Consider the following 12,718-nt stretch of genomic DNA (forward strand, 5'->3'; position numbering starts at 1 on the left):
ACACTCATTCACACACAGTAGCCTGTATTATTTATGATTTGTTTCATTAACAGTTTCCTAAACTCCCAAATTGTCCTCAAAAGTCTTTCCAGATATCTTGAGTCACAGAAATAAGTAGCTGTCCACTCTCTCTGGATATCAAAAGACAAGGCAAGGAAATATGAAGAGGAAGGCAGATACTAAATGTTCCCTAATATCCCCCAACCTCAGGTGATGACAAAACATGACCTTGACTTGCCTTTTAGGTTTACCACCCAAATGTCCTCCAAACATGAATGAGCACCAGGATCATCCTACTTTTCTATATTGCTATTCAGACCCTTTACTCTTCCATCTGAATTTTCAATAGTGTAAGAAGTTAGAGACCAAATAGCTTAGAAATAGAATAATCCTCAAGATACTTGTGCCTTTTGAGCTGGCTTTAAGCCAAGTTGTCAAAGATTTTTAAAAACAATTATAAACCACTGAGACACACACACACACACACACACACACACACACACAGTGCCTCTTTATGTAAAATATTCAACCCCGATGAAAAGATATGGTAGAAGAAAATCCCACTCTGCCACACTGCTAAATTCCTGTCTCAGGAACATTGCATTTATCTCGCAGACTTCTACTTCCCAATTATGAGTTCTGGAAGAAATGGATTATGAAGAATGAAAGCTAATGGCTAACGGTCATAGCTGTTCAAAGACAGAACTTACATCAGGCTTCATTACCAAGATTCAAATATCCCTTTTAACATACCTGGAAGGCAGGCAGGTGCCAAGAAGGCATTCTTGGGTTTGGATGCATGGAGTTTCCAGAAGTGGTTCACAAGCTGGGTGATGAAACTACAGCAATCTCCTTCCAACTGCTTCTGCGGTTCCTTCCCTTCATCCATTCCTTCTAAGCAGGAGAAAGAAAATTATCAACGATGGTAAATCTGAGATGGAATTTAATTTGTTTTAAGGTTAACTCAGGTCAAGGAAGCTTGCCTGGGGAGGGAGTTTCAAGTGGGGCCCCAATCAATATGCCAACTATCCCTAGACTCCAGCAGGCACATCTAGGAAAAAAACAGTCTGGGAAAGGAATATCGCAGAAAACATTGTATGTTAGAATTAAGTAGAACGGGGAGCATTTAGGATGTTTACCGCAGATTCAAAGATCTCAGTTCCAACTGTTCAACTTCTAAAACGTAGAGGAACATCTGAACATTCTAGAGATCTCTCTAGAACAATTCTGGGATTGTAGTATTAAAAGGAGGAACAGAATGATGATGCATATGGGAGCATGTAAATAACACAGAATTGTAAAGGCAGCAATCAACTCAATTTGACAATGACAAAACAGGTTTGCTACCCAGCCAACAGAAGAGGAGATGAGGAAACAGCACTGAGCACTGAGAAAGTTGCTACACATTATTAATAATAGCACTGGCAAAAGAATGGCATGAAAGCGAAAGATATGCCATAGTTGCTTTAAAGCAACCAGGGCCCAACCAAGCTTAGCTTTCCCCTGAAGCTCCTAAGAGGTAATAACTTCAGAGACAGATTATATCTGATGTCTAGAACACTAAATAAACTCAAGGATAATCGAAAGTATAAGCACTGGAAAAAGAATGTGTTTAAAATTGTACAATCTCAATGTCAAAAGGCCCTACAAGGTATAAAGACCAGGAAGCAAAATCCCTGTCTCTGAGCATGCAGTCAGTCAGAGGCCAGTAAGAACAGTAAGAATGAGAGGGTAAATAGGCATATGAAGCAGATCTCAGGACCACGGCCACAGAGGCCAAGTTCACCTGTTTCCATCTGGGGCAGCTTTGACTCCGTAAAGTGGACAAGGTTGTTGGGGCGCATGATGGCAATGGAGCGAGCTGTGATCACTAGCCTCTGGAACACCTCAGGGTCCAAATCCTTGCCCTCTTTGCTAGATGTGTTGAGACACTGCACAGCTTTGCTCAGCAAGGCCTGATCCTGTAAAACAACAGGAGCACAGAGGGTCAGCCATAAGCAAGAGCTGGGTACAAAAGCAAAGAGGAGAGAAAAGCTGGCAGATCACCAGGATTATTACCTCCTCTCAAGAGAACAGGCCAATGAACACCAATCACCTACAACAGATCTTCAAAGCAGCCTCATATAGTTAAGTTTCTTAATACATAAAATATTAATGTCATTAAAAAATAAAAACCCTGCAGTATCAAAGTATGATGGGAAAATTCAAATCTACTCAGTTCTCCAGAACTGCTAGATTTCTTTCTCTTACAATAGAAGAGTCATTTCTTAGCAAATTCATATTACCCAAGGACAGTGTTTCCAAAATTGTCTTTCCTTGAGAGACAGCAGGTTAAACTCACATTTCTCAGTTCTCCGGGTTGGAGGCACAGAAGCTAACCAAAGCTCTGGGTTGATGGCTCCTCTCAGAGCCTTCCTCCTCAGGGGTCTGAACTCTCATCTTTTCCATCTACAGAAATTGGCCCAGTTTGTCTCCTTTGGCAATGCCTTTCTTTTATAAGTGATACCCTCTTTCCCCAGATGTTCCCATCAGAGGCACTCCAAGAACTATTCAACACTTGTCTCACCAACAAGTACAGTACACTTCTCGTGCTGTGCCACACCTGAGGGAGCGAAAACACTAGCAGTCTATTTCCTGAGGGACTCCCTCACCTCACCCTTTTCCAGCGAGAAGGCTACCCACGCTCAATATCCCTCCTTCTCTTTCTTAAGTCTTGTTGATCCTGTTAGAGTGACAGAAAAATAAGTACAAACCAGGGGCCCAGTCACTGGCTTACCCTCGGTTTTGAGTGGCACTTGAGAATTTCTCAGGAGAAACTCTGTAAAATGTAGGTCTAATCTGAATGCTATCCTCCCTCTACCTTACTTTGCTGTGCTGTTGCTTTACAATGAAAAGCTAACTTATTTGATTCCCTGTCAGCACTGCAATTTCCTTTCCCTGAGAGAACAGTTACCTTGTGGCTGTGGTAGGCCGAGCGGCTGGTGTGCAGGCTGGCCAGAAGGCTCTTGGACTGCTGCTGGACACTGGCAGGTGCTGGCAGGGACAACAGCAAAGTGGCCAGCTCCTGAGCAGCATTCTTGTTTCTCTCCTAAGGCAAAAGACAGCAGGGTTATCACTAACCCCACCAACTCAAGGCAGAATGAACTATCTACACTCTGCCTGCCCTTCCTTCCTTCTAGGCCACCAGGGCTAGGTTATGCTCCATGGACTGCAAAGAGAAAAAAAAAAAAGTTTCAGAAATTATAATCCTCCTTCTTACCAGAGGAAGACATGGAATCCAAGCTCATGATTCCCAGAACAGTGTTCTTGTACCAACACGCATCCTATTCTGTGACACACGCTCACTATGGGCCCGAAAAGTAGGACATAGGCCTTAAGCTGAAGACTTCTCTGGAGCTTCTTAGCAAATCAAGATTATGCTACTATAAATGTTCTTTAGCTTCGAGGCCTCAGGGCCTCGGGCAACTCCACTGACTTCCTGCCTCTTCAGAAAGCTTCCATGTGCTTTGAAAAAGTGACTTGCCTTCTCGATGATTGGGCCAACGGCAAAGCAGCTTTCCAGGGCTTCTAAAGAACTCACAACCAGCCTGGGGAGACAGAAAACCTGGCTTGAGTACAACACCGTTCTCTCCGCCTTGCGCTTTAGCCTAAGCAAACTATAGTCATGAGGACCTTGGGGACAGCTAATGAATGCCAAATACAAAATCAAAGCACAATAAGACCTGCCACAGGCACCATGCATATCGTTTCCTACGTTACAGGCCAGGAGAAACCTGGCTCCTGCTCAGAGATCAACCTGAGGCCATGTTCGTAATCCGTAACTCAAAGACAGGGCTTTTCTTCCTCAAAGAGGATAAATGTGCTTCCTTCTGCTGCCTGTGGCAGGGATCACTGAGATGGGCTTAACAGTCTTGATGCAATGGGACCCAAAGCTCAGCTGCCCAGAGATCAGTGGGCAAAAGGACACACAAAGGGAAAGGTAAAAACCATCCTCTTATATTGGAAAGTTTAAAGCTATATATGCACAAAGGCATTTCCTAGGAGTCCCAAGTATGGGGGAGAGAACAAACTATTTTTTAGGTGCATGCCAATTGCCAACATTCAAGGGGTAAATACAAAGCATCTTTAGAAAACTTTTCCCCTTAGGAAAGGAATAGGAAACCCAACTATTACTATTAAAGGTACCAAGTAACATGCTCCCCAGGGTTTACTCCTTTCAATTTAATGTGGCATAGTAAAAAGAACAACATCCTGACAGCTGAAGCTCTGGACAGAGAAAGAAAAGTATTCAGAAGGTAACTGGAAAGAAAGGGGTTAAGGGGTAGAGGAAGGCAATAAAGAACTAGGGAAGAGGAAACTGAGGCATAAAACAAATTTGGATAGAACGAGCTCTCTAGTGGGTTATCAGATGGTAGGACTTTGCTGTTAATCCCTCTACCCCAAACCCCCTTTTCATCCACTTAGAAAGGGAGCAGAGAGGACTAGGGTAAGGAAGAGAGAGTTGAGAGAGTGTCCGACATGGCCAACACCAAGAGTGCACTTACGATCTTCCATATACTCCATTTTTACACATGGACAGCTCTGTAGCCATGCAATGACCAGAACAGAAAGAAGCAGGAAGACTCTTCAACAGAAGCAGAATCAATGCAAAGCCACACCATTGGTTACACGGCTCTCTGACACACACTCACTCGTGCAGAGAAAAGAAAGAGGGCATACTAACCGGTCCAGCTTGGTTAGGGACTCAGTTTCAGAACTTGGGGGAGAAGCAAAGAAAAAAAAAAAAGGAAAAAAATGTGAAGCTCAGAGAAACCCGGAAACACATCCTAAGCAAACCATGTATGGATAGGGCATCGGGGAAAAAGAAAGAGAAAGGAAGGGAGGGAGGAGGCTGGTGGTGGGAGGCAGTGATTCCAAGCAAGGCTATTCTTGTGACTTACAATGTAAGAAACTCAAAATCTTACATCATGAATTATAATATTTCATCTACCATGGCAAACCAGCAGCTACCTAGCACAAAGAAGCCAAGCACAATGCTTAAGAATATGCCACTGTAGGGAGACTTAAGGAAACTCTAGACTCTGCTACAAGAGGCAGCAGACAGCCTCTCTTGCTGGCAATGTTATTATCACAGAAGTAGCTACGCAGAGAAAGATGATGAAAAGATGATGAGCTCAGAATGGAAGGGAGGATGTTTTCCTATCATTTCAGCAAGCCTGGATCCTAATCTAGAATACTGGCTTGAGCATCGTCTAGCCTGTGGCCTCTGGCTACTCTAAAGGGTACCTGAGCATTATTAAGAGAAGGGACAGAACTTCTGTCCAGGGAGAGACTCTGGTGTCAGATGACTCTGAGCACATTTTTCAGGCTTTGCACGCTAAAGAGACACTGAATGTGGGCGAGTTGTATGAAAACTTAAAAAAATTCCAGGCTAGCCTTGAGATGGTTATTAGAAGCTGGCTCTCTCAAGACACAGGAAGGTTCTGCAGTGAGTGGAATATGTAAAAACTGAAGCCAACCCCTGCCAGCACTGGTACCTCTCCAGGACAGTTCCACTGGTCGTAGTGGGGGCAGCTGAGTCGCTATCTCCAGTGCCGTTGCTCTGGTTCAGATTTGAAGGGCAGATGTTGCTGACAGAGGCAGAAGGGAATTCTTCTGGGGGCTCATCAGGCCAGCCAAACTGCTCCTTAGTCTTGCCATAAATTTTTACAGCATCTATCATGGTGACACCTGCTGGATCCACCGAGGCCCCAACTGCAATAAGCAAGAGAGGCCTTTAGGAAGCACATTCTCTAAAAAGCCACCCCTCCAAAGCAAAGACCAGAACAGTTGGAGCAAAGAAGTAAATCACGTCAATTTTATAGACATAGAGAAACTTTATCTTCTGAGATATTTGCAGCACTTTAATCGTGTATATATGCTGAATACATGTGGTAAAAGTTCCATGGACCAAAAGCCGATTACGTCTCCTACTCAGAAGAGTCCCTAACCATCACTGCAAGGGTCCTCTTCTGCTTCAGAGTATTGTATCCCCTACCCCTCACTCCCAGGGGTCTCTACACACTTTCTTTGTTCAAAGTACAGATCATGATCATTCACACTAACAGCAACTATATCTAGAAGAAAGAATATCAGACAGTGGCCAATAAATGACAGAGAAATGCAGTCTTGAGTAAGGCTCAAGGATTTGTATTCTGAGAGTTTAGTTTTCAGTGGCATAGCAAGCCATTGCCAACCATCTCTCAGCCATGTGTGACCTGAGGTCTTCCTCTGTGCGTTAAGAAAGCCTTGCAATTTCATGTCAATCTGCCTCCTCTCGGCCTAAACACAGAAGTAGCCCCATTAGTGAGGTGGACACAACACTATTGAAATGAATACTCAACACAGTGCAGCCCTATCTTTACTGCTACCATGCTCCGGTGTACTCCTTTCCTGTCACCTTGCCTCTTTAATACATCAAATGAAGCTCAAAGTTTCCTGATGAAAGGACAGAAAAATCAGCAGAGTGGAGAGATCCCAGAATGTTGGACAGCCACAGGCCAGTGGCTCCCAATTTCGCAGTCACAATGAGGACAGAGTCTGCACCAGGGGTTGGTGACTCACTGAAGAGGTTCAGCTTCTTATCAGCCTGCAGGGCTTCTTCTCTGGTGAAGGGGAAGTCAAACCAGCGTGAGCGACTCAGGTTGAGCTGCATAGTTCTGCCGAAGATCTCGATATATGACGGGGCCCGTTCTATTGCTTGAGTCCCAATCTGGATCCGCATGCCTGTCATCACCATAGTGCTATTGTTGTTACTAATCTCAATGGTGAAGCCTCCGGGCTGTAGGGAGACAAGGCACACATCAAGAAACTACAGAAGTTCTTAAGTTTTAACTAGGACTCCTTCTTCTCTGACATTGTCTCAACATGTGAAGCTCATTAAAACTTATCCTTTTAACTCCCTGGTAATGACTTCCTTGTTTCTAAAAATGGGAAAATAGGAAAAGAGAGCAGATTCTCTTCAATGTCAGGCTTCCTTCTCCCCAGTATTAACCACCTCTTTGATGTCCTCTACACAGTAATCCTGCTGGTATTGGTGGAAACCCAACCTGTACAAGTCCTTTGCCAAGTGAGTAAGAATATCCATTTTTCTAAGGAACCATTTAACTAGAACCGAGGGTTGTGACTGTGAGTATATACTCTATACTTGCTTTCTAAAAGGAGATGTGTTCTCAAACCATATTGTTTGAGTCCTTCTACCCAGGGATTGATCCCAGCCCAGTGCCATTCTTACCTTGGTGTTGGCCACATACATGCCAGTGGAATTCAGCCGGTGTTTTATCTGTTGTGCATTATAGACCTGTAGGAGGTCGTTACCACCAAACTCCACATCTGTCAGCTGCTGGTTGTGTTCAAAAAAGTCAATGGGGAAAGTCACCTGGCTAGACGTGCGGGTTGCTGCAGAGAACGGTACCAGATCGTCAAGAGTCTCTCCCACCTCTGCCCCAACACCACTGGTAAAGACTCCTCCCAGACAGAGCCCACACTCACACTCTAATCTAAGCAAACTCTGGATTATAACATTTGCATCGGCATGATGCCTACATGTGGTTAGCTCTCCAATGGTTGTTATCCCTAACTATGACATGTCCTAGCAATACCAAGAAATCTGGCATTGGTATTGGGTGTACAGCTAATAACAATAGGCTCTCCTGTAACTGGGTTATTTAAAATAAACAATAGGAGCTACTTCTTTAATGAATGTAAATGAATAAACCATTCTTTCAAAATAGACTGTAGAGCAAATTTAAGGTAATGTGATGATCCCTGTAATGGTCTTTGCTTAGCTGGATTTGCTCACTGCTAAACTCAAGCTTTCACTTTCCTGAAGAGTCCTGAGTCAGTCAAGTGCTAGACCACCAGCTCAGAGACCTGTGGTGGGCTCTTCACTACTCAGTGGGAAATTAACCAGCTGAAGAGGTCTATACTTCAATCAGTTCTTCAGGGAAGTCATTCTCCTAAACCTAGAGAGAACAATCTCTCAAATAAGGTCCAGGACATAACTCGTTACTAGGCACCAAAGAACTGCTGGCCTGAAACAGGCAGCCAATGGGTGCTTGACATTTGGAAACATAACTCTGCTTTTGGGAAATTAACTTTACAAAATGTGCAAGTAGGACAGTCACATTTCTTCACAGATATTTTCAACAGTCTATTCTGAGTCACTGTCTAGAAGACCACCATTCCTACTCCCCCACAAGTCATCTGAGAAGGAGCCTTACTGATTGTAGCTGTTTTGCGCTTTCGAACAGGCTTCATGATGCTGATGACACTGCTGGGCTGCAGGGATGGCTGCAGCCAGTAGGAGGTGTTCTCCACGTTGGCCATGTAAATGCGCAGGCTGCCATCCTCACACAGCAGAATCATTGTTGTCCGCTGCTGCTCATTGCAGGCCGTGTGCCTAATAGCAACCATGTCTTGGATCTAGGAGGAGAGGACAAAGGAGGGTCTTCGTTCCCACACCCACAGATCAGCATCCTCACAGAAAAAGAGGCAGAGATGCAACTGGTTTCATGGTCAGTTGAGGGGCTGTACAGAAGGGTGGCAAAGAAAAGGCATCTAGAAGAAAAAGGACTGAAAATCTTTTATGGGCCTCCATTGAAAGAGCTGGGAAAGTGAAATGAATATACAAACATAAAAAGAGACCAGGTTCACAGCAAAGTAATGAATGGGAAAATCTGGCACTGACCTTCGCTTTAGCAGGAAGAGTCTTAATCTCCTGGATAAGAAAAGTGTCTGGTTTCACCATAACTACCAGCGGCACCCCTGTAGTTTGCTGGACACAGCACACCAAGCCAGGGTGGTTCATCACCTCAGACCACTGGCAAAGAGCAGGAGAAGTCTTACTGCCACCATTGGAACTGCAGACAACAAAACTGGCCACAGTTAGAGTGTCAGTCACCATTTAATAGTTCTTTTCTTGACCTAAAAACCATCCTCTAACTGGCTACGTGACTCCAAAGCAATATCCTTGGCCAGGGACTCAGATTATCCACAGGTTAGTTTTATTCCAAGCCATGCACACATGCTCATACACCCCAATGCGTGCTTATGGCAGGGCAGTCCTCATTTGGAGTCTCCACTGTGAGGTTCCATGTCCGAAGAACAGGTGGCCCTATGTGCCTAGAGGCTATCAACTGCAGAGGGCCATGGAGCTGCCTAAGGCTAATGACCCATTGTCCTATCAGGATCTCCAAACACATCGAGTTAGTGTGAACTGGTATCCATTTTATTTCATCCCAAACCATGTAATTCCCAAAGAAAGGTCTGAGAGAAAGTGCTACAATGGGTCATCAATGGCAGATAAGAAACAAGGGAAGACACCATAAGCCTCTTCTTCCTCCTCCCTAAATGAAACTCTCACTACCTTACACACCCCTCTATTATTTGCAAACTTGTTGAAAGTCTCTTCCTCCCCCATATCCAACCATGCCCCCATTACTGATACGTTCTATTTGCTAACAGAGTAAGTCTCCCCAGGAGAAAAACTTAAAGGGCATTATGGCAGAATGAGTGTCTAAGAGAAATTTAGGTTCCCTTCTCACATTAAAATCACATTTATAACATTAACTATAGGTTTTCCTTCTGAGTAACAGTGGACCCCTAAACTACCTCTGACAGCTTGGGGTCTCCACAGTGGAGGACAAACCGTGCAGACAACCCAACCTGCCAAACCCGGATGTTCCTTGATTTTAAAGATACCTAGCAGGGGAGAAAAAAAGGTTGGCTGGAGAAAATTAAGTTTCACAAAACTCAGAACAGATAGCAGATAGTGGGAGTGGAGATCCCACATTGAATGTGGACATTGCGGAAGTTGAACATTAAATGTTCATTCCCACCTTTTGATGTTGATGGGGAAGAGTTGCAACACCTCCAGGGTTGTCCTGCTGATGGTGGCTGCGAATGATTTGCCTTGACAATAGCTGAAGAACAACATCTGCAACACGTGGGAGTAGTACACGGACACACCACCGCCCGCCACCTGGCTGTTACTGTCCTGCTGGCACAAAGACACATATTTGCAGTAATTCATGTTGCCTTGGCTACCAACTTCCGGTTTATACTGGTTATTATTTTCAATCATGATCAGGTGCTCTCATACTCTAAGCATGAGATCCCTGTGGGTAAATCTTACAAAGACCCTGAGAAAAATGGAACTTGAAGTTGAATTAATTTAGCCCTAAAGGATAAGAGAGTTTGCTATTAGGTAGAAAGTTAGATGGAAAAACAAAGAAAAAGAAAAAAAGATCCAGTTAGATGAAGTCCACAGAAAAATGTTATAAAAGAACAAAGAAAAAAGAATAGAGGAGTTGCTAAATAATTAAATCCGGAATAGAAGGAAATAGCAACATGTGCTCTAACCTTCAGGTCCTCATGATTGATTTCCAACACATTAGTGACATAGAAGGGTCCCTGCTGGGCACTGCTGGCCTCTTCCATAAGCTGAGTATAGATGTACCCAGCCGAAGACATTATAACAATGATGTTCTTTCCCTCCTCATTGAAAAGGAAGGTAACATCTCTTATCTTTGAGCTTGGCAGGAGAAAATAGAAGGTTGGACTCAAGGCATCAACACACAGGTCATAAATCTGCAGGATGGAAGAAAAATTAAATAAGGGAAATCTATCTCAGTCCCATCCCCCAAATATCTTAGTGAATCCAAATAGCCGGAACTGACCAATAACAGGCATTCATTCTCCATTCAGTAAAAAAATGGAGTGTTAGGCACTGGTCTTATAAAGATGAACAGAACACCTTTCACTCTCCTTCAAGGAATGAGTAGGGGACAGACATACATAAATAAATTCTGAAACAAGTATGGTAATAGGTGTGCACTTGGTACAGTGAGGGTAGAACCAGAATCAATTCCCTATTGCCTAAAGACAGAAAGCTCCTACTCAGCAACATAGCAAAAGTGACAAAATATGGCTTGTTATCATTTTTAGAGACAGGGTCTTGCTCTATCACCCAGATTGGAGTGGAGTGGCGTGGCATGATCACAGCTCACTGCACCCTTGAACTAAGCCTCAAGTAATTCTCCACCTCAGCCTTCCAAGTAGCTGGTACTACAGGTGAAAGTCATGGCACCCAGCTGATTTTTTTAACTCCTGGGAGAAGCTAGCACATAGTGATTCTGGATTTAAAAGTAGAAAAATTCTAGGACCATATCATCAAAGAACTGTAACTGTACCTTAACAAAGTCTGCGGTGACAATTGCTAACTCGGTCTGTGAACCAGGTAACCACACGGCTTTGATGATGAAGTTCCCCGTTGCCAACTGAGGGTGCAAAACCAAGTGATCCGAAACAGAGCCTGAGCTACTAAAGGTGAGCACATGACAGTCCTGGACAATGTTTAAGAAACAAAATGGTGAAAAGATGATCTGAAAAGTGGGCTAATTCATTTCAGAGTAATGACGTTCCCTTTTTTCCTCTAATATCCCCTGCCTTCAGACAGTATTTAGACTGTCTAGTAACATTCAGGTTTCATGAACACAAAGATTACTTCCAATATTGGAGAAATCTGAAAGATCTGGGAGAAATTCAAAGAAAAATTCCTTTTGCATTTCAGTAGGTTTTAAATTTTAATCTCCACAACGAATAAGAAAAAGTAGTTCTGAGAACAGGGGAGAGAAAATGACTAGAATCCACAGCTCAAGGCAATCAAACCTAGATCCGGATTTTTACCTTTAGCCCACAAACCGCCAAGTAGTCTTCCTTGCAGGGATTTCCTGTGAGGCTCAACACAGTAAAAGGAACTGGGGCAGAAGCCAAGCGGGTCAGAGTTAACTTCCTTTTGCTGGAATCTGCTTGCTTCAGGAGTGCAGAGAGCTGCAGAACGGTGATCTGCAAAGGAACAATGACTAATTTATTCCTACTCCTGGTCCTCTCAGAGAAGTCAAAGCAAGTAACAAAAACTCTTTCAATAGGGATAACAGGTTGCACACTTTTTTCTTTACAGATAAGTCTAGTAGAAAATCCTAGATCAGTATTAGTCTCTATTACTCCTGGCTAAAAGCTATGGAATGTATTTCCATGGAGGACAGAACAGGTAAGTAATGAAAACAATTTCTCTTTATATAGTTCACAAAATAGTTTAAGAATACCTACGTACCACTGTCCTTTTCTAGTTTTCTAGGAAACTGTTTTTAAAATGATTTTAGAGTTGTTTGAAGGACTATCCATATTTTCACTTAAAATAAAAGTTAAAACAACATTAGTGGTGATGGAGAGGCCAGAATACAGAAAAGTGTGAGTTAAGATACCTAGCACTCTTCCAACTTCTACTAGCTCTATAACACAATACAAACTTACTTATGTGCTTAACAGAGCTGGGATGGCACGGCAGCACTACATAAGCAACACTGAGTGTTCCTATGAAAACTTTTGTCTCTCAGCTTATGCCCGCCAGAGTGACCAAACAGGGCAAGACTGGGAGCCAAGCCGTCCTCGGTAACTGCTAATCATTACTTTTTCCTGAGGGCTTTGAAGAATACGTTTTGAGTGGAAATTTACTAATTAGGAACAGTCCTAGTCATACCAGCTCTAGGTCTAATCAAATCAATTCAGGGTTCAAGTATTTGAAAAGCTCAACAAGATCTGTCCCTGAAGCATTCTTAGAACGCAGTGGACTTTTTCCCACAGAGGGCTAATCCGAATGTGGTCATCAATTTGTTTT

The 12,718-nt window shown here is 43.4% G+C and overlaps 1 protein-coding gene across 50 annotated transcripts in view, besides 1 other annotated feature; it reads right to left on the reverse strand.

Annotated features, from left to right (window-relative positions):
* UBR4 (ubiquitin protein ligase E3 component n-recognin 4) overlaps positions 1-12,718 on the reverse strand; it is a 135,757-nt gene that overhangs the window by 70,530 nt on the left and 52,509 nt on the right. For 6 of the 50 annotated variants that reach the window (XM_047416500.1, XM_047416463.1, XM_017000822.3 and 3 more), the window contains exons 41-55: positions 11,728-11,886; positions 11,232-11,384; positions 10,402-10,629; positions 9,879-10,039; positions 8,729-8,915; positions 8,262-8,463; positions 7,274-7,437; positions 6,604-6,820; positions 5,538-5,754; positions 4,724-4,756; positions 3,524-3,587; positions 2,954-3,088; positions 1,787-1,961; positions 984-1,067; positions 754-894 (exon numbers count right to left, since the gene is read on the reverse strand). In XM_047416500.1, the coding sequence (XP_047272456.1) occupies positions 754-894; positions 984-1,067; positions 1,787-1,961; positions 2,954-3,088; positions 3,524-3,587; positions 4,724-4,756; positions 5,538-5,754; positions 6,604-6,820; positions 7,274-7,437; positions 8,262-8,463; positions 8,729-8,915; positions 9,879-10,039; positions 10,402-10,629; positions 11,232-11,384; positions 11,728-11,886 (2,320 nt within the window). The remainder of the gene's footprint in view (positions 1-753; positions 895-983; positions 1,068-1,786; positions 1,962-2,953; positions 3,089-3,523; positions 3,588-4,723; positions 4,757-5,537; positions 5,755-6,603; positions 6,821-7,273; positions 7,438-8,261; positions 8,464-8,728; positions 8,916-9,878; positions 10,040-10,401; positions 10,630-11,231; positions 11,385-11,727; positions 11,887-12,718) is intronic. The other 44 variants (XM_047416520.1, XM_047416483.1, XM_047416519.1 and 41 more) reach the window with 15 other exon arrangements.
* Positions 10,984-12,183: an enhancer, noted in NCBI's record as "CDK7 strongly-dependent group 2 enhancer chr1:19482517-19483716 (GRCh37/hg19 assembly coordinates)". NCBI's record gives its function as "activates an origin of replication core promoter dependent on BRD2, BRD4, P300/CBP, MED14 and CDK7 cofactors, with strong dependence on CDK7, by STARR-seq in HCT116 cells {active_cell/tissue: HCT116}" and the evidence as "EXISTENCE:reporter gene assay evidence [ECO:0000049][PMID:35650434]".

Source organism: Homo sapiens, chromosome 1 (assembly GCF_000001405.40).
Source record: "Homo sapiens chromosome 1, GRCh38.p14 Primary Assembly".
In the NCBI taxonomy this organism is placed as follows: domain Eukaryota; kingdom Metazoa; phylum Chordata; class Mammalia; order Primates; family Hominidae; genus Homo; species Homo sapiens.